The 22,108-nt window shown below is 37.6% G+C and overlaps 1 protein-coding gene across 1 annotated transcript; it reads left to right on the forward strand.

Moving 5' to 3' along the window:
- Positions 1–20,302: 20,302 nt before the first annotated feature.
- On the forward strand, positions 20,303–21,241 carry OR14C36 (olfactory receptor family 14 subfamily C member 36). The gene has a single exon (NM_001001918.1). It carries the CDS (start codon positions 20,303–20,305, stop codon positions 21,239–21,241), a length of 939 nt encoding a protein of 312 aa, NP_001001918.1.
- The last annotated feature ends 867 nt before the right edge of the window (positions 21,242–22,108 follow it).

Below are 22,108 nucleotides of genomic sequence, written 5' to 3' on the forward strand. Positions count from 1 at the left end.
AAAGTAAAGCATTACGTGAAATAATGTCAGACAGCATGTGTAATCCACTGTGTAATCAACTGAAGTTGCTAAAATGACTTTACCCTTTTGTAATAGGAATAATCAGGAAATAAAACAAAAAATCTCTCATATTAGCAAAATGAGCATAGCAGTTTTATTTGTAATATGAAAATGCAACCTGCATGTGCACTGGCAATGGAATTTATAACTATAACTACAAGAAGTAGCATTCATGAATCTCACAAATAGAATGTTGAATGAACAAAGTAGATCACAGGGAATGCCCTCATGAATCCTATTATAGTAATTTAAACATACATATAGAAACCATTTATTAAGTGCAGCAATCCTGGAATAATGATTACCTGCAAAATGGGCTTGAAAGTTTACACAATGAGAGAGAATTGAAGTGTTTTTTCAAAAACATTGGTAATATTTTAAAGGATTTTACAAAATGTATATCTACCATATTTTTTAATAAACATTTTTGTATACTTGAGCTTTAATAAAATATATGTAAATATATGTAAATGTCTTAGAAGAGCACATGACAAATGTAAAGCATTCATTACTACAGGTCCAGGATTCCTTATCCAAAATGCTTATGACCAGATGTGTTGCAGATTTCAGACTTGTTCAGACTTTGGAATATCTACATGTAGATAAAGAGATATCCTAGGAATGGACTCCAAGTGTAGAGACAAAATTCATTTATGTTCGATGTATACCTTATACACATAGTCTGAAGGTAGTTTTATGCCATATTTTAAAATAATTTTGTGTAAGGGAGAAAGTTTGTGTACACTGAACCATCAGAAAGCAGGAATGTCACAATCTCATGTCAGCACTCAAAAAGATTCCGATTTTGGAGTACTTTGGATATTAGATTTTTGGTTTAGGGATTCTCATCCTGCATGAGCTACAATTATTAAAAGAAAAGAGAATGTGGTCAAAACATTCAAATCACATCCAGTTCTCATCTTTTACTTTTCTCCTCTGATTCCTATTCACTGTCAATTTCTTTCTCAAATCTAGAATACCAGGATATGAAAAACAAAAAATATTGTATTTTATACAATCTTTCATATTGATAAGCTGGGAGAGGTAACCACTCATTCTGCCTCAAGTTGTACCACATTTCTCAAAGTAATATTGCACGAATAAAGTAGAACAATGTTTATAAAATTCTTAGCACACAAATGACGTAAGAAATGAGATCAATCATCACCATGTTCAGCAGAAATTTTCACACTAGCTTATAAACAGTCTTGTTGGGGCTTGGTTAACTTACCTCTTAGTACTGATCTGAATAGTGTGTATTTTCAATGAGACTGTAGGTTCCTGGGAAGGCAAAAATATATAAATATCTTACATGTCTTTATATTTCCATCATCAGAAGAAAAGCACCTAACTTACAATGGGTATCTTTATTGTTATTGAAAAATCAAAGGACACAAAAATTTAAATTTTTAGCTCTTGGGGAATCCATTCCCTTGTCTTTAATTATCGAAGTTTGTATTTCCTTCTATCTCCTCTTCTAGGTCATGAAGCAGAATTAGCTTCCTTTTCTTGAAAATACTACAAAGATAATGATGACTCTTTCCTTGCAGATTAGTGTAAACTTTCTGAAACCTCTCCTTCCTCTCTCTCACATGATGAGGTAAAAAACACCAAGTGCTTTCTGTGCAACTGGCACTGTGGTTTAAAAAAAAAACGGTTTGTAAATTCACATAACATCTACAACCATCGTGTGTACCAGATACCCTTATTAGACACCTGAATATATTATTATATATTATCTTTAATTATATTCTCATTTTTTTGCATGATGAAACTAAGGGCAGAAGCTTAAGTAAATTCCCCGAAGTTGCAAATTCAGTAGCAAATGGCAGTCAGGGCGTTCCAGAGCTGGTTCGTCCCTCTTCTATGGCTTATCTTCACTCTCCCTTCTGCTCCATCATCAAAACAAGATATGCTTAGGTAGAATTGGCATTTTTAACATCTTGATGTTCTCAACATAATTCTAATTTTATTTATATGTTCCTTATATGTTTTCTATCCCTTAAAACTACTGTATATATTTTCTGTAAAATTTATTCTTATTAAATAGAAATGTTCATGGGTATTTTATATTTTGTTGCTCTAGTGTATGGAATATTGTTTCCATTACTTTTTCTATTTCTTTTTGTTAATATGTAGAAATCTATTAATTGTTTGTAGATCTTGAATCTTAGAATGTCGTTTTTTATTTTTGTATTTCTTATTGCAGAGAAAAATGTTACATACAATGCATAAAACAACTTAACAACTTCATATTTCTTTCCAATCTTATCTATTTTTTCTTACATCACTTGATTAAAATATATATAATTAAAAGGTTGAAGAATAATATTAGTGAGTAGGTGACCTTTAGCAATTATGGTTCACCATTGGGTATAGTGTTTGTCTGAGGTTTTGGTAGATATATTCACCAATTTAGCAAAATCCCATTTTATTTCTTTTACCAATGCTTTGTTCAACAAATGTTCACTGAATCATATTGAATGATGCCCTGCTTTTACTGAGATAATTGTATTGTTTTTCTTAAATTGTTCTAAGCCTGAATTACAATGATAGCTATTTTGTATCTTTAGAAATATTTCACCGGAAGAGAATGTATAAAATACTAAATGCCAATGTACTCATCACCAGCTTAGAATAAAATATTAGAAGCCGGGCATGTTGCCTCACACCTGTAATCCTGGCGGTTTGGGAGGTTGAGGCGGGCAGATCACTTGAGGCCAGGGGTTCAAGACCAGCCTGGCCAATATGGTGAAACTCTGTCTCTACTAAAAATACAAAAATTAGCCAGCATGGTGGCACAGGCCTTTAATCTTAGCTACTTGGGAGGAGACTCTCTTGAACTTGGGAGGTGGAGATTGCAGTGAGCTGAGATGGCACGATTAATATTAAAGAGTATTAAACCACATGGTTACAAGGTCCCACAGTCGGTCCTCTGAAGCTGAGGAGCAAGGAAGCCAGTTCGAGTCCCAAAGTTGAAGAACTCGGGACAGTTTGAGGGCAGGAATCATCCAGCACGGGAGCGAGGTGTAGGTGTGGGAAGCCAAGCCAATCTAGGCCTTTCACATTCTTCTGCCTGTTTTTTATTCTGGCAGAGCTGGCAGCTGATTAGATTCTGCCCACCCAGATTAAGAGTGTGTCTGCGTTTTCTGACACACTGACCCAAATGTAAGTCTCCTTTGGTGACACCCTCAAAAATACACCCAGGATCAATACTTTGCATCCTTCATCCAATCAAGGTGACATTCAGTATTAACCATCACAACAGAAAATACAAAACTGCAGTTATTACATTGATTTGTATCTAGCAACATTACTAAATTTACATTTAGTAATCTAAATTTAGCATTTGAATGTAAATGCTAAAAGAATTTTATTATCTTTAGCAGTACTTTTTTTGCATCTTACTAAACTTTTCAAGCCAGGATCAACTAGTAGTCTTCAATTTTACATTTTCTAGTGGAGAAAATATAAATTGCTTCTTGTACTATGGAAAATGTAATTTTAATTTTATAACAAATGATATCTTTATTCAGATATTATGTAGTTTTAAAGCTTTTTTGGAAACATTCTCAAAGTTATTCAAAAGTTGCAATAACTACACAAAATTTTTCTTCTCTGAACCATTGGAGATTTGATCCATTGCTCTCTAATATCTTAGTGGCTTTCCTACAGAAAGAGATCTTTCTCCTACTGCCCAAATCATGAAGCTATCCTCAATACTTTACCACCCTCTGGTCCACAGACCCCATTGAATTTTTCCAACTATCCCAATAATACCTCTCATATAGCAAAATAATCAAAGTCAGGTGATGAGTTGCCTTTCTTTGTTATGCCTCTTAAGTGTCCCTTACTCAGGAAAAGTACCTGATTCTGTCTTTAATGAGATACTGTTTTTTAGTTTTGTTTTTAGTTCTTGTGATAAAATATACATAATATTAAATAATCTTAATTATTTTTAAGTATACAGTTCAATAATGTAAAGTACATTGACATGGTTGAACAAACAATCTCCAGACATTTTTCATTATATGCAACAAGGGTCTCCAACCCTCGGGCCACAGAGGTGTGCTGGTCAATGGCCTGTTAGGAACCAGGCTGCACAGCAGGAGGTCAGCAGAAAGCAGGCATTGCTGCCTGAGCTCTGACTCTTGTCAGATCAGCACTAGCATTCAATTCTCATAGGAGCCTGAACCCTATTGTGAACTATGCATGGGAGGGATCTAGGTTCCTGGCTCCATATGAGAAGCTAATAAATGACTGATGATCTAAGGTGGAAGAGTTTCATCCTGAAACCCTCTCCTGCCAGCCCCTGCCACATCAGTGGAAAAATTGTATTCCATGAAACCACTCCCTGGTGCCTAAAAGGTTGGGGACTGCTGGTAGATGACATTGAACTGTACCCTCTAAACAAAAACCACACAATTCCTTTCTTTCCTTACCTTTGGCAGCCACCATTCTACTGTCCATCTCTATGAATTTGAGGTTCCCTAGGTACCTCATATAAGTAAAATCACACCATATTTGCCCATTTGTAACTGGCTTATTCTATTTTGTGAAACGGTTTCCTTGTCTGGGGTAAATACCTACCTGAGGTTCATTGTCTCAGGGTCAAGGAAATCAAGGATGTGGACACACAAAGAGTGAGGTTAAGAGTGGAACTTCAATAGGCGAAAGAAAGAGAATAGTTCTCTTCCTGCAGAGAGGGGTCCCAGAGAAATTAGTACCAGATCTGTGGTAAAAGGCAAGGTTTTTATGGATGCCTGGGGAAGAGGTGGTGTTTGATTTACATAGGGGACAGATGATTGGTTGGACCAGGTGTGCTATTTGCATAGGGTGCAAAAAACTGGTTAGAAGTAAGTGTGCCATTTGCATAGGGCATGAATTGCTGACCACCTCCACTCTAATCTTTTATTATGCAGGCTAATTTTTGTATTTTTAGTACAGACAGTGTTTCACCATATTGGCCAGGCTGGTCTTGAACTCCTGGCCTCAATTGGTCTGCACCATGTAGCCCATTCCTTTATTATACTTGTGATAACAAAAAAAAGGGAGGATGGAGCCTCCATTTTGGACTTGCCTGGCCCCCAGGTAGCCCTTTTTTCTATTGGCATAGCAGCCAGCATTTCCTCGTGCAAGCTTCCGCTGGCATATCCGCGTTTGCAGCTCTGATTTTTCAGACTGCTCTTTGTTTAAAAAAATAATTTCTTGGGCTGCTTTTAGTTAAAAGGAAAGCTCTGCTGAGGACTCTTTTACCATCACTATCTGACTAAATAATTTCTTTCTAACTCCTGTATCATGATAGCCTCAAAGTTTACCCATGTTATATAGCATGTATCAGAATTTCATTTTTAAAGCTAAATATTTTTCCATTGTCTGGATCCACCACAGTTTGTTTATCCATTCATTTATTGATGAACACTTGGGTTGCTTCCACCTTTTTGCTACTGAAAATAATGTTGCTATACTATTGAAAATAATGTTGCTATAAACATGAGTGTACAAATATCTCTTTTAATTCCTCCTTTCAAATTTTTGGAGTATGTACCCAGAAATGAAATTGCTGGATCATATGAAAATTCTGCAATATTTTTAATGTATCTACCATAATGTTTTCCCTAGCAGCAGCACCACCTTACACTCCTATATTTCCATCAACAGTGCACGAGTGTTCCATTTTTTCTACATCCTTGCCAACATTTGTCTTTTTCTGTATTGTTAGTTGGTTTTTATAGTAGCCATTCTTACTGGTGTGAAGTGTTATCTTACCGTGGTTTTGATTTGCATTCCCCTAGTGTCTTAGACTATTCAGACTGCTATAACAAAATACCATAACCTGGGTAGTTTATAAACAACAGGAAATTATTTTTCATAATTCTGAAGAATGGGAAGTCCATGACCAAGTTACTGGCAGATTGGATGTCTTCTAAGGGCCCACTTATTGGTGTATAGATAGTGACTTCTTCTTGTATCTTCACATGGCAGAAGGTGCTAGCTAGCTCTCTGGGGTCTTTTTAATGAAAGCACTTATCCCACTCATGAGGGCATCCCTCATGAACTAATTATCTCCCCAAGGCCTCATCTTCTAATACCATCACCTTGAAAATTAGAATTTCAACATATGAATGGGGGTGGGGGTATAAGTGGTGAGTACATTGCACCTAATGATAAGAGATGTTGAATACCTTTTCATGTGTTTATTGACCACTTGTACATCATTTTTGGAGGAAATGTCTCTTCTGTCATTTTCCCATTTTGGAATAGGATTATTTGTTTTTATGTTGTTGAGTAGTAGCAGTTTGTTTTATATATACTGGAAATTATGCACTTGTTGGATATAAGATTTGCAAATATTTGCTTCTATTTTATGAAATTTCTTTTCACTCTATTGATTGTGATTTTATGCATGAAAATTTTAAATTTAATGTACACTAATTTATCAATTTTTTTGTTCCCAAAACTTTTGGTGTCATATCCAATAAATCATTGCCAAATCCAGTGTCATGAAACTTTCTCCCTATGTACTTTTCTAAAAGTTTTACACTTGTCATTATTAAATTTAGAATTTGGTCCATTTTTTAAAATCTTAACACATAATAATTGTACATACTTATAGGATTCAGAGTGATACTTCAATACATGTATACACTGTGTAATGATAAAATCAATGTAGTTAGCATATTTATTAGCTCCAAACTTTTATTATTTATTCATGTTGTAAACATTCAATATCCTCTCTTCTAGCTTTTAGAAAATATACATTATTGTTAATCGTATTCAACCTAGATAACTATAGAACACTAGAACTGATTCCTTTTCTCTAGCTGTAGCTCTTTATGTACTTTTTTAAAAATTTACTTCAGTAGTTTTTTAGGGATGAGTGGTCTTTGGTTACATAGATAAGTTCTTTTATGGTGATTTCTGAGATTTTGGTGGACCCATTACCCAAGCAGTGTGCACTGTACCTGGTGTGTAGTTTTTTCATGCCTCACCACCCTCCCACCCTTCCCCTGACTCCCCAAATTCCATGATATCATGCTTATGCCTTTGCACCCTCATAGCTCAGTTCCCACTTGTGAGAACATGTGATATTTGTTTTTTTATTTCTGAATAATGATCCTAGAATAATGATCTCCAGCTCCACCCAAGTTGCTGCAAATGATATTTCATTCTGTTTTATGGCTGAGTAGTATTCCAAAGTATATATTTACTACATTTTCTTTATCCACTGTTTCATGCGCATCCATGTGAAGGGACCAGCAAACAGGCTTTGTGTGAGCAATAAAGCTTTTAATCACCTGGGTGCAGGCAGGCTGAGTCCGAAGAGTCAGCGAAGGGAGATAAGGATGGGGTCATTGTAAAGGATTTGGGTAGATAAAGGAAAATTACAGTCAAACGGGGGTTGTTCTCTGGCAGGCAGAGGGGGTCACAAGGTGCTCAGTAGGGGAGCTTTTGAGCCAGGATGAGCCAGAAGAAGGAAGTTCACAAGACAATGTCATCAGTTAAGGCAGGAACCGGCCATCTGGATGTGTACGTGCAGGTCACAGGGGATATGATGGCTTAGCCTGGGCTCAGAGGCCTGACATTCCTGTCTTCTTATATTAATAAGAAAAATAAAATGAAATAGTGGTAAAGTGTTGGGACAGTGAAAATTTTTGGGGGTGGTATGGAGAGATAATGGGTGATGTTTCTCAGGGCTGCTTCCAGTGGGATTAGGGGCAGCATGGGAACCTAGAGTGGGAGAAATTAAGCTGAAGGAAGATTTTGTGGTAAGGGGTGGTATTGTGGGACTGTTAGAAGAAACATTTGTCATTTAGAATTATTGGTGATGGCCTGGATACGGTTTTGTATGAATTGAAAAACTAAACAGAGTAAGAGAAGGAGAAAAACAGGTATTAAACGTCTAAGAATTGGGAGGACCTAGTATATCTAATTAGAGTGCCTAAGGAGATTCAGCATAGTCCTGCCAGCAAAGATTATTTATTTACTTCAAGAGTTAACAGTGGCAGTTTGGAGATAGCACCAGGAGATATCAGCTGTGATGGCTTGGAGAAACAGTGTAAACCGGCAGTGTAAACAAGAGCAGGGCATGTATGAATAGTTGAGAATGGTGAATACGAGTATGACTAAACAGAAGATAGTGTGGAAGACAAGATTTTTGGGGCACAGTCCAAGTCGGTCTGGTATCTGGAATGAGACTGGGGCCTAATAAAAAGGAGTGTCCATACAGGAGCTCAAATGGGCTGTACCCTATAGCATTCCAAGGACAGGCCTGAATTCTGAGAAGGGAAAGTGCTAAAAGTATTGTCCAGTCCTCTTTAAGTTGGTGGCTGAGCTTGGTGAGGTGTGTTTTTAAAAGACCGTTAGTCTGTTCTACCTTTCTGAAGACTGAGGACTGTAAGGGATATAAAGTTTTCACTGAATACTAAGAACCTGAAAAAATGCTTGGCTGATTTGACTAATAAAGGCCAGTCTGCTATCAGACTGTATAGAGGTGGGAAGGCCAAACCAAGGAATTATGTCTGACAGAAGGGAAGAAATGACTGCGGTGGCCTTCTTAGACCCTGTAGGAAAGGCCTCTACCCATCCAGTGAAAGTGTCTACCTAGACTAAGAGGTACGTTAGTTTCCTGACTTGGGGCATGTGAGTAAAGTCAATTTGCCAGTCCCGGGCAGGGGCAAATCCCCGAGCTTGATGTGTAGGAAAGGGAGGAGGCCTGAACAATCCCTGAGGGGTGGTAGAATAGCAAATGGAACACTGAGAAGTGATTTCCTTGAGGACAGATTTCCAGGATGGAAAGAAAATAAGAGATTCTAAGAGACGGGCTAGTGGCTCGTAACCTACATGGAAGAGGTTATGAAATGACGACAGAATAGAATGGGCCTATGAGGCTGGAAGGAGATATTTTCCTGGGTCTAAGAACCTTTGCCTTGTGTGGGAAAAGACTGATAGGTGGAAGTTTCAGCGGGGGAGTAGATGGGAGTGACTGATGTGAAGGAGAAAAACTGGTGTGAGGGACAGAAGTTGGAAAGCTAGCTGCTTCTTTAGCTACCTTATCAGCATAAGCATTGCCCTGAGCAATGGGATCTGATGCCTTTTGATGGCCTTTGCACTGAATGACTCCATCTTCCTTTGGAAGTAAAGCAGCCTTGAGCAGAGTTTTTATTAAAGAAGTGTTAATGATGGAGGACCCTTGTGTAGTGAGGAAACCTCTTTCAGCCTATATGAGTGCATGGTGGTGCAGAATATGAAAGGCATATTTAGTCAGTATAAATATTGACACGTAGTCCTTTTGCAAGAGTGAGGGGCTGAGTTAAGGCAACTAGTTCGGCTTGCTGAGAGTTAGTGGAGGGGGGCAGAGAAGTAGCCTCAATGATAGACGTGGAAGATACTATAGCATAGCCTACCTTTGCTGGTGAGTGGCGATTAGGCCTGGTGGAACTGCCATCAATAAACTAAATGTGATCAGGGTGAGCAACAGGAAAGAAGGAAATATGGGGAAATGGGGTGAATGTCAGGTGGATCAGAGAGATAGTCATGAGGGTCAGGTGTGGTATCCAGAATAATGTGGGAGGCCGGATTGAAGTCTGGGCCAGGAACAATGGTAATTATGGGAGACTCAACAAAGAGTGAGTACAGCTGAAGGAGCCAGGGAGCAGAAAGTATATGCGTCAGGTATGAGGAAGAAAATAGATTTTGGAAGTTATGAGAAATGTTGAGAGTGAGTTGAGCATAGTTTGTGATTTTTAGGGCCTCTAAAAGTATTAAAGCAGTGGCAGCTGCTGCATGCAGACATGAAGGCTAGGCTAAAACAGATCAAGTTGTTTGGACAGAAAGGCTACAGGGTGTGGTCCTGGCTCTTGTGTAAGAATTCTGACGGCACTAACCATGCCTAGGAAGGAAAGGAGCTGTTGTTTTGTAAGGGATTGAGGTTTGGGAGATTAATCGGACACAATCAGCAGGGAGAGCACATGTGTTTTTATGAGAATTATGCCGAGATAGGTAACAGATGAGGATGAAATTTGGGCTTGACTGAAGTAATGGGGGCTGTCTGTGAAGGCTTGCGGCAGTACAGCCCAGGTAATTTGCTGAGCCTAATGGGTGTCAGGGTCAGTCTAAGTGAAAGTGAAGAGAGGCTGGAATGAAGGGTGCAAAGGAATAGTAAAGAAAGCATGTTTGAGATCCAGAACAGAATAATGGGTAGTAGAGGCAGGTATTGAGGATAGGAGAGTATATGGGTTTGGCACCACGGGGTGGATAGGCAAAACAATTTGGTTGATAAGGCACAGATTCTGAACTTATCTGTAAGTCTTGTCTGGTTTTAGGACAGGTAAAATGGGGGAATGGTAAGGAGGATTTATAGGCTTTAAAAGGCCATGCTGTAACAGGCGAGTGATAGCAGGCTTTAATCCTTTCAAAGTATGCTGTGGGATGCGATACTGGCATTGAGTGGGGTAAGGGTGATTAGGTTTTAGTGGGATGGTAAGGGGTGCATGATCGGTCGCTAAGGAGGGAGTAGAGCTATCTTATACTTGTGGGTTAAGGTGGGAAAATACAAGGGGAGGATGTGAAGGAGGCTTTGAACTGGGGGAAAAGGTGGCAATGAGGTGTGGCTGTAGCCCAGGAATAGTCAGGGAAGCAGATAATTTAGTTAAAGTGCCTCGGCCTAATAAGGGAACTGGGCAGGTGGGGATAACTAAAAAGGAGTGCTTAAAAGAGTATTGTCTAAGTTGGCACCAGAGTTGGGGAGTTTTAAGAGGTTTAGAAGCCTGGCCGTCAATACCTACAACAGTTATGGAGGCAAGGGAAACAGGCCTTTGAAAAGAAGGTAATGTGGAGTGGGCAGCCTCCGTATTGATTAAGAAGGGGACGGACTTACTTTCCACCGTGAGAGTTACTCAAAGCTCGGCGTCCGTGATGGTCTAGGGGGCTTCTGAGGCGATCGGGCAGTGTCAGTCTTCAGCCGCTAAGCTGAGAAGATCTGGGAAGGAGTCAGTCAGGGCGCCTTGGGCCAGAGTTCCAGGGCCTCTGGGAGTGGCTGCCAGGTGAGTTGAACAGTCTGATTTTCAGTGGGGTCCTACACAGATGGGATATGGCTTAGGAGGAATCCTGAGCTGCGGGCATTCCTTGGCCCAGTGGCCAGATTTCCGGCGCTTATAGCAAGCTCCTGGGGGAGGAGGTTCTGGAGGAATGCATGGCCGCTGCGGTTCAGGCGTTTGGAAGTTCTTGTGTGCTGGAGATGTGGCTGGGGTTTGTCTCACAGTGGAGGCAAGGAATTGCAGCTTTTTTCTATTATTGTACACCTTGAAGGTGGGTTAATTAAGTCCTGTTGTGGGGTTTGAGGGCCGGAATTTAATTTTTGGAGCTTTATTTAAAGTCAGGAGCAGATTGGGTAATAAAATGTATATTGAGAATAAGATGGCCTTTTGACCTTTTAGGGTCTAGGGCTGTAAAGTGTCTCAGGGTTGCTGCCAAACGAGCCGTGAACTGGGCTGGGTTTTTATATTTGATGAAAAAGAGCCTAAACGCTAACTGATTTTGGGATAAAGAAAAAGGAGCATTAACCTTGACTATGCCTTTAGCTCCAGCCACTTTTTAAAAGGAAATTGCTGGGCAGGTGGGGGAAGGCTAGTTGAGGAACGAAACTGTAAGCTGGACCGGGTGTGAGGAGGGGAGGTGATAAAAGGATTATAGGGTGGAGGAGTGGAGGCTTGCCACTAAGGGTGAAGGACCAAGGCAGGCATCCCTGCGTGGTCTGACACCTCTGAAACATGGGTGAATAATCAGAGACGTGTCCCTGCAATGATTAAACACCAAGGGAAGGCTGCCTTCCCAGTCTGTCACCAGCGCTGGAGTTTTGGGTCCACGGATAAAATGTGTCTCCTTTGTCTCTACCAGAAAATGAAACGAATTGAAATTAAGAGAAGGGAGAGATTGAAGTGTGGCACCAAGATTGAAAGGAGAAAGAGGTTGAGGGATAGTGAGGGAGGTTGGAGAAGAGAGTAAAAAGAGGCCTCATACCGGATTTGAAATTGGTGAGATGTTGCGCTGGTGGGTCTGAGGATCTGAGGTCGTAGGTGGATCTTTCTCATGGAGCAAAGAGCAGGAGGACAGGAGATTGATCTCCCAAGGGAGGTCCCCTGATCCGAGTCATAGCATCAAATTCCATGTGCATCCGTTTGAAGAGACCACCAAACAGGCTTTGTGTGAGCAACAAAGCTTTTAATCACCTGGGTGCAGGCGGGCTGAGTCCAAAAAGAGAGTCAGCAAAGGGAGATAAGGGTGGGGTCGTTGTATAGGATTTGGGTAGATAAAGGAAAATTACAGTCAAAGGGGGATTGTTCTCTGGCGGGCAGAGTGGGGGTCACAAGGTGCTCAGTGGGGGAGCTTTTGAGCCAGGATGAGCCAGGAGAAGGAATTTCACAAGACAATGTCATCAGTTAAGGCAGGAACAGGCCATTTTCACTTCTTTTGTGGTGGAATGTCATCTGTTAAGGCAGGAACCGGCCATCTGGATGTGTACGTGCAGGTGACAGGGGATATGATGGCTTAGCTTGGGCTCAGAGGCCTGACACCCTGTTCAGTTGATGGACATTTAGGTTGGTTCCACATCTTTGTAATTGCAATTGCAAAATATGGAACTACACATATTTTTCCTATAATGACTTCTTTTCCTTTGGGTAGATACACAGTAGTGGGATTGCTGAATCAAATAGTACTTCTATTTCTAGTTCTTTAAGGAATCTCCATACTGTTTTCCACTGTGGTTGTATTAGTTTACATTCCCATGATCTAGTTGTTCCTTTGTGTCTGTTAACAAACCTCTCTATTGTCTCCTCCCCCAACCTTCCAAGACTCTAATAATCACAATTCTACCCTCTACTTCTGTAAGTTAATTTTTTTAGCTCCCATATATTAGAAAGAACATATAGCATTTATCTTTTAGTGCTTGACTAGTTTCATTTAATATAACGTCCTCCAGGCTCATCCATGTTGCTGTGAACGACAAGATTTCATTTTTTGTGTGTGCCAGCATAGTATTCCATTGTGTATAAACATCACATTTTCTCTATTGATTTATGTGCTGATGGACACATAGGTTGATTTCATATATTGGCTTTTGTGAATAGTGCAATCTCAGATCACTGCAACCTCTGCTTCCCAGGTTCAAGCGATTCTCATTTCTCAGCCTCCCGAGTAGCTGGGATTACAGACTTGTGCCACCATGCCTGGATAATTGTTGTTATTTCTAGAAGGAATGGGGTTTTGCCATGTTGGCTAGGCTGGTCTCTAACTCCTGGCCTCAGCCTCCCAAAGAACTGGGATTGCAGGCATTAGCCATTGTACCTGGCCAATTTTTAGTTTTTTGAGGAACCTCTAAACTGTTTTTTGTAGTGCTTGCACCAATTTACATACTTATGAAGTGTGCAGGGGTTTCTTTTTCTCCACATCCTCACCAGCATTTGTTATTGCCTGACGGTTGGATAAAAGCAATTCTAACCGGGATGAGATGGTATCTCATTGCTGTTTTAACTTGTATTTCTCAGATAATTGATGATGTTGAGCAACTTTTCATACACCATTTTGCCATTTGTATGTCTTCTTTGTAGAAAATTTTTTCAGAACTTTTTCCCATTTTTAAATTGGATTATTAGACTTTTTCCTATAGAGTTGTTTGAGCCCCTTATAAATTCTGGTTACTAATCCCTTGTCAGATGAATAGTTTTAAAATATTTTCTCTCATTCTGTGGATTGTCTCTTTACTTTCTTGATTGTTTCCTTTGTTCTGCAAATGCTTTTTATCTTAATTTGATCCCATTTGTGCACCTTTGCTTTGACTGCCTGTGCCTGCAGTGAATTGCTCAAGAAATCTTTGCCCAGTCCAATGTCCTGGAGAGTTTCCCCAATGTTTTCTGTTAGTAGTTTCATAATTTGAGGTCTTAAAGTCTTTAAATCATTTTGATTTTTTTATAAGCCAAGAAATAGGTGTCTGGTTTCATTCTTCTGCATAAGAACATACAGTTTTCCTGGCACCATTTATTGAGGAGACTGTCTTTTCCCCTATGTATGTTCTTGGCATCTTTATGAAAAATGAACTTCCTGTATGGATTTGTTTCTTGTTTCTCTCTTCCACTCATTAGTCTGTGTGTTTGTTTCCTGGTTCTCTCTCCTGTTCTATTAGTCTATGTGTTTTTTTTTATGTCAGTATCATGCTGTGTTGGTTACTATAGCTCCTTAGTATAATTTTAAGTCAGGCAATGTGATTCCTTGAGTTTTGTTCTATTTGCTCAGGATTGCTTTGGGTATTCTGGGTCTTTTAAGATTCCATGTACATTTTAGCATTTTTTAAAATTTTTGTGAAGAATGTTGTTATTTTGATAGGGGTAATATTGAATCTGTAGATTGCTTTGTGTAGTGTAGACATTTTAACAATATTGATTATTCAAATCTATCAACAAGAAATATGTTTTCTTTCTTGTGTGTCCTTTTCAATTTGTTGCATCAATGTCTTACTGTTTTCATTGTGGAAGGATATCAATTTTAATTTAGATGTTGGCCAGTTGTACATAAATTCCAAAGGGAAGAGAATATAAGGAGGCATTTTCAACCTCCACTGGCTTTCCATTATGGACTGAACTATATTTTCTACTTTAGGTTGGAATGCCCTTAGCAGAGAGGGAGTTTCATCAGTCAGTTGGTGGCTTAGGGGTTCTATAAGTAAAGATCAAGAGATTAGGTAATTGTCCAATTTGCAGCAAAGGTAGTTTTGCTGAGGTTTAACACAGAGTTTTTTCTAGATCATAACATCTCAATAACATTTATGCTTTTCTCTTGCAATCCTTCTGAATAATGAGTTTGTCAAGGCTTTCTTCATTTTCTTACTACTGTGAGTGGTGAAAAGCCATGAATCTGAGAGATATTACATTTATCTGTGTTAGTATTTCCAGATGTACAAAACCAGTGTCCAAATGTACACTTTAATTTGGCCAAATTCATTTAACATTGAGACGATGTTCTGAGCTCCTCCTGGGACTCTGGTGATGTGCAGAGGTTTAGGATTGTATTCCTAAAAGACTTGCTAGGAATGTTGTAGTAATTGCAACATACTTATATAAACGTAAACCTGATGACTGTAGTTGCACAATAGAATTCCTACTGAAGTCTTTACATGAAGAAACACTGATGTTTCTGTCAGTCCTTTGAAAAATTGGTTGATCTACATTTGATCACTTTATATGACAAAAGCTGTTGTTAAATGACGTGATCCTATATCTAGTATATGAACATAGTGAGTATTCTTATTATTTATTAATATTATGATCATCATGCCTTTTCTTGACTCTATTTTTTTTTTCTTTTTTTGAGACAGGATCTCTGTTGCTTAGGCTGGAGTGCAGGGTACAATCTTGGTTCACTGCGGCCTCAACCTCCCTCACTCAAGCGATCCTCCTGCCTCAGCCACTCAAGTAGCTGGGATCACAGGAGTGCACCATCACACACAGATAATTTTTGTATTTTTTATAGAGATAAGGTTTGTCAGGGCTTGTCTTGAACTCGTGGACTCAAGGGACTGGCCTGCCTTGGCCCCCCACAGTGCCTGGATTACAGGTGTGAGCCACTGCAGCTGGCCCCTTGCCTCTATTTGACGCTTTCTGCTCACTCCTTTGCATTCTTTTTAAATTCTATTCAGGAAGATATAATGAATTACAGTTGAAAGCAAAACTATCTAAAGTTGCTGACATAACTCATCTAGTTTACAAGTTTAGTGAAAAATCACTCAAACTAGTCCATAAAATTGAATGGTTCATTCAATGTGAAAAACAAACACACAGGTAAACTGTGGCCATGAGCTGGAATAAAGCAATGAATCAACAGGCCAAGTGCCACCCCCATTCCTATTATTTCTGAGACTGTGAGTTAAGGCAGGTTAAGGTGGCCAGAATAAAATAGGTAGTTTTCTTTCTGGGAACCGTCAATTAAAATTTAAAAAATCATTTATTGACTGTATGTAGTCTCTGAGCAGCGTAATCAGGGGAGTGCATCGAAGAAGACTTAGTCATCTAAGATTGAACCTGAAAAGGAAAATTATAATTTGAAAGTAAGACAAAGAAATATAATATACAGCATAAAAAGTAGAATATTGTAAATATTCTAAGACATTTTTAAGATGGGTTACATGGTGTGTATATATCTATGATTTAAATACCATGTTAAAAACCAGATTAAAATCTTATTCACTGTTCAATACCTTGCATCAGATCATGAAGTGAGAAATGTCAGACTCAGTCATAATTTGTTGAGTGATTAAATAAATAAATGAATATATGAGTAGATGAGTAATTTCATGAGTAAATTAAAATTCTGATCAATTAATTTTCTTCTTTAAGTTCTACAAGATAGAAAAAAATTGTCTTCTATATTGTTTCACAGAAGACTATATGTATTATGTATTTATTTTCTATTAAGGAAAATGCAGTCTATTTAGTGGCCATGTGGAGAACATTCATTCAATCATTCCACTTGGTCAAAATCACTACTTTAGGGTTTTTTTAAGAGAAAGATAAAAATATTATCTATATGGACAAATTTGTTTACCTAGAGTATTTAAGTTGTAAATGAATGTAGGAAATGAAATTTTCAAATATATAATTTGATCATTTTGTTAATTTGAGGTAAGAATTGTAATTTATAAGGAAATACCTACCATACTACATGAGCAATAAGTTGAAGAATTTTCTTCACAGTACCTACCATTTTAATTGTATGATAGTTTTGGAAATGTTTATATATAGTAAATTTTTAAGACCTGTATCACCATCATGTTTGATGGTTAAGATTATTGAGAATAATTTAGAGAGCTAGTAAGTGGTTTAGGCAAGAAGCAAACCCTGTTTTTTAGTCCACAGTTTTCTACTCTTGGAAGTATGTTATGTTGCCACATAGAAAGTCAAGTTTAAGGCCCCTATTATTATTGTACTGCAGTCTAGATCTTCCTTTAAATCCTTTAATATTTGTTTTACATATTTAGGTGCTCTGATGTTAGGTGCATAAACATTTACAATTGTTATATCTTATTGACGAATTGACCCTTTAATCAACAAAATAAAGTTTAAACCAGAGTTTATATCATAAATAACAAAATAGAAGAAATAAAATATTTCAAATGTTTAAAGACTTCAACTTGTGGTAATGTGTAGCATTTTACCAACTTTAATATATTTACAGAGATTTAAGGTTGTGCTAGCAGAAGTCCATTTTCAGAAGACTTCAAACATCTACATATAAAAGCACAGAAATATAAGTACTTCTTACCAGGTCGAGTGATCTATTTTGACAAAACTAATGTGATTTGTTTAGATCAATTATTTAAAAAACAAACTGTTTACTGATGGTGAATGACTACAACATTCATAAAACTTTGAAGTGCAAACTCTATTTCTTTATTTTGATTATCAATAAATATTGCTCCTATGGAGAAAAATAGCTAGGTTGCTTAAATCTGGGATATAAGAATTATACATGTAGAGCAAAATTATAATTTATTCAAAATACAGGCACAAATGTTTGTATATATGCAAATAGCAACACAATATTCAATCTTAATAAATGTTACTGAATTCCATATACTAGGCTTTCTTCTCTAATCATGGATTTCCATATACTGGGTGTGCTCAGTCTACACCTCTTCTTTCAATGGGGGCCGGTTGTAGTAACTTTCCTAGTCATAACAACTCTTTAGCTCTTAAATGAAAGGAATATAAGGTTATTTTCTATAAATGCAGAGATTTATAAGCAGTATAGTTATAGTGGTAATGTTTCAATAAAACAAATTGTGGCTTCATTCGAAAGTGTTCCAGTTAAAACTTAAAAAAATACTTGCAGAGTATCAAAACTTTAAGGTATACTAATTGATATTACAAGGGATTCCCTTGTAATTTTATGTATCTGTCTATCTGTCTATCTATCTATCATCTATCTGTCTATCTATTATCTGTCTAACAATCAATCGATTGATATATCTATCAGCATAAGTCTTCAGATTTGCCAATTCAGACTTTTACTAGCAAGAAGAAAAATCTTTAGAATAATAAAATTTTAGACTAAAAATTAATCAAATTTTAAAAGCATTATTTGTTGTCATAATCTTAGTTCTCTCAGGGTTAGATTATTATGTCAACCAGTGTTTTAAGTTTTATTCTAGCTTCATAATTCAGTCTCTCAAACTAATGTGTGGAGAAGTCAAGTCAGAGTAGCAAAAGTGCAAATTATTATTTGGTTTGGAAATACCAAGTTTAGTATAATTTATTAAATCAACTCAACAGATACACAGTGTGCTTCTCTTTACATAAAGCAAACAGAAAACCTTAGTTTGGAATGAGAGTGACAATATGTGTTATATTTTCATAGCAGTTTGCTGGCTTCCAAGCACTTCCACTTAACTAATCAACTCCCGTTCTTCCCTCAGCCACACACACCCTTTCTCATCCAGCATATTACCTTGTGAGTTTTTGTCAAAGCACTTAAAACTTTCTGGAATATTTTATTCTTTCTCACATGTTTAACAGTTCAGTGTCAGTCTTTTCTAATAAAATTTAAATTTCATGAGATTTAGGCACTTATTCTGTTTCATTTATTCACAAAACTCCTGTGATAGCAGCATTAGGTGTATATATTGATTGAACAATCAGTGAATCAAGGACTACGTCACTGAATGAGCCCATATTGTTTAAATTGATCACAGTAGTACACACCATGATTCTGCTTTTACAGATGGAGGGAATTTTCCTTGGGTGAAGAATGTTGCCAACTTTACATGGCTGGTAAGTGGGAGTGATACAGCCCAAGCCTCCTGTCTCCCTCTTCTACAGTGAAGGTTCTGCTGAACCTTCCATGTGATAATTTGTCCTGCTTAAAAATATTTTGGACACATACTGTATTTACCTAATACAATAATACATGAAACTTATAGATGGTAAAATTCTAATTGGATCATCAACATAAAAGTATAAGGAAAAATTATCATTAGCTCATCATCATGAAAATATGAAGCCATTCTTTTTTCCCCCTTTTTTTAAAAATTAGCCTTTATTTTAAGTGCAGAGGTACATGTGCAGGTTTGTTATATAGGTAAACTTGTGTCACGGGTGTTTGTTGTACAGATTATTTCATCACCCAGGTATTAATCCTAGTAGCCACTAGTTATTTTTCCTGATCCTGTTATTTGAAAACTGACAGAGTCATTCAACTGGGCACAGTCTCCAAGTTATCTGCTGAATGCAACTGGTACAGAATAAGCACACGAGGTGGATGACTGTGGTGAAAGAGTAGCTGTTCAATCTGGACAGGTTTTTGCTTCCTGTGAAAAGGGAATAAAATACTAACTTTCAGGATTATTGAGAGTCTTAAATTGATATGTGAATTTTATCTAGAACATGTCTGGTAGTAGTATGTGCCCTCAAAATATTCCTACATACCAATAACAATATCGATGTTTCTGAAAATAATAACAAGAGACAGTTAAGGAACATTCATGATGTCCTAGACAATTTCCTAAGGATTTTATAAATCTTATCTCATCCTGATGAAGCACTATGACAGAAAGAACATTTTTTAGAGTTCTATAAAGGAATGGAGACTAAGCCTGTAACTAAAATGCCCATTTCACACTATGATGGAGACCAGTATTTTGAAGTAGCTAACTAAAAATCAAAGCTAGGATTTTAATCACTACAAATTATTGTGTATTTCCCCTCTATCTAAAGAACCTCAAGAAACTATCCAGAACATACATTTGTTCATTCAATTCTTAAGCATATAAAGACAATATCTTCATGATGTGGGTGAACAGTTTTGTTCTCTGTATCAGAATCTGTATTGATAAATAATTAGCGATAAGTATATTTGAGTGAAATAACTTATTAAAATATTTATTTAATATCAAATATAAGTAAATAACTTTATCTGACCCATGGAGGACACTAAGTTGCATAAAATTTAATTTTGAACAACTTCTAAACAACAGAAACAACAACAAAGCATCTGCCCAATTTGAATATAAAGAATATTATGTAGGTTCATAGAGGACCACTTGAGTTGCCTTCAAAAATGTAAGGACCAACAATGTAGATTACAACTAGAAAGGGATCAAGACTACGATATTTAAGAACCATCTTTCCATCATTTGATTCTTCGTGAGTGTTCAGGATTTCTGTTTCCCAGGTCCAAGCTTCATCATCCACCGATGCCCAATTCAACCACCGTGATGGAATTTCTCCTCATGAGGTTTTCTGATGTGTGGACACTACAGATTTTACATTCTGCATCCTTCTTTATGTTGTATTTGGTAACTCTAATGGGAAACATCCTCATTGTGACCGTCACCACCTGTGACAGCAGCCTTCACATGCCCATGTACTTCTTCCTCAGGAATCTGTCTATCTTGGATGCCTGCTACATTTCTGTTACAGTCCCTACCTCATGTGTCAATTCCCTACTGGACAGCACCACCATTTCTAAGGCGGGATGTGTAGCTCAGGTCTTCCTCGTGGTTTTTTTTGTATATGTGGAGCTTCTGTTTCTCACCATTATGGCTCATGACCGCTATGTGGCTGTCTGCCAGCCACTTCACTACCCTGTGATCGTGAACTCTCGAATCTGCATCCAGATGACACTGGCCTCCCTACTCAGTGGTCTTGTCTATGCAGGCATGCACACTGGCAGCACATTCCAGCTGCCCTTCTGTCGGTCCAACGTTATTCATCAATTCTTCTGTGACATCCCCTCTCTGCTGAAGCTCTCTTGCTCTGACACCTTCAGCAATGAGGTCATGATTGTTGTCTCTGCTCTGGGGGTAGGTGGCGGCTGTTTCATCTTTATCATCAGGTCTTACATTCACATCTTTTCGACCGTGCTCGGGTTTCCAAGAGGAGCAGACAGAACAAAGGCCTTTTCCACCTGCATCCCTCACATCCTGGTGGTGTCAGTCTTCCTCAGTTCATGCTCTTCTGTGTACCTCAGGCCACCTGCGATACCTGCAGCCACCCAGGATCTGATCCTTTCTGGTTTTTATTCCATAATGCCTCCCCTCTTTAACCCTATTATTTACAGTCTTAGAAATAAGCAAATAAAGGTGGCCATCAAGAAAATCATGAAGAGAATTTTTTATTCAGAAAATGTGTAAGAAACCCGAGAGGCTCACCCTAGGCTGTTTTGTGATATTCATGTTTTCAGGAATAAGTTGTAATAATTGATTGTGGTTATTAGATAAAATTGGTGTAAATTTAATAAATAAGGCTACTAAAATGCATCATGTATCAAAATCGATATTTCCTTTCAAAAGTTTTTGAATAATTTTAATATGCCATTGGGTAAAAAAATCTGGTGTTATGAAGAAGACAATTCTAATAGTACATGTTTTCAAGTTAATGACTCACTAAAAAAAATCATAAAGCCTAAAATATTATCTTTAAAAGTATTTTGTGTTAAAGTTCTGTTCTATATTCATCCACTCTTCAACTTTTGGTAAGTCCAAAATAAAAATGGTGTCAATTAATTTTCAAAAGCCATATTTAGTATTATAGAAGAAATGAAAACATTCAGTTGTGCATTCATTCAAAGTTAAATATGAGAAATGTATGTTTTTGGAGGACCATAAGAATATGAGTGAAATGCATACTGTGAAAAGATGAGTGGATTTGTCAGGTCATAGATGAGGGGATTAGTAACACTTTACATAGCTTCCCTTTTATGTTAAAGAAAAGCTCTAGATACATCATACTTATCAGCCCACGATTTTACTAAAAATGCATTCAAGTGCTTTGGGGATACATTTATTTTATTATCTGTTTTAAGTGGCTCACACCCTATATTCCAATTTATTATCAACTTCTTCTCCATACATCCATTAAGGCCTTTGAGGAGTTAATAGTATTGTCTTGTTTTGTGATGGTGTCATGTATCTGAAAGATTTATTTTGATGGCCAATAGTAACAGCCGTTATCTGGTAGCTTATATTGCAATAATCAGTAATCCCAAATTCTTAGTAGGA

The sequence above is a fragment of the Homo sapiens genome, chromosome 1 (genome assembly GCF_000001405.40).
Source record: "Homo sapiens chromosome 1, GRCh38.p14 Primary Assembly".
Classification (NCBI taxonomy): domain Eukaryota; kingdom Metazoa; phylum Chordata; class Mammalia; order Primates; family Hominidae; genus Homo; species Homo sapiens.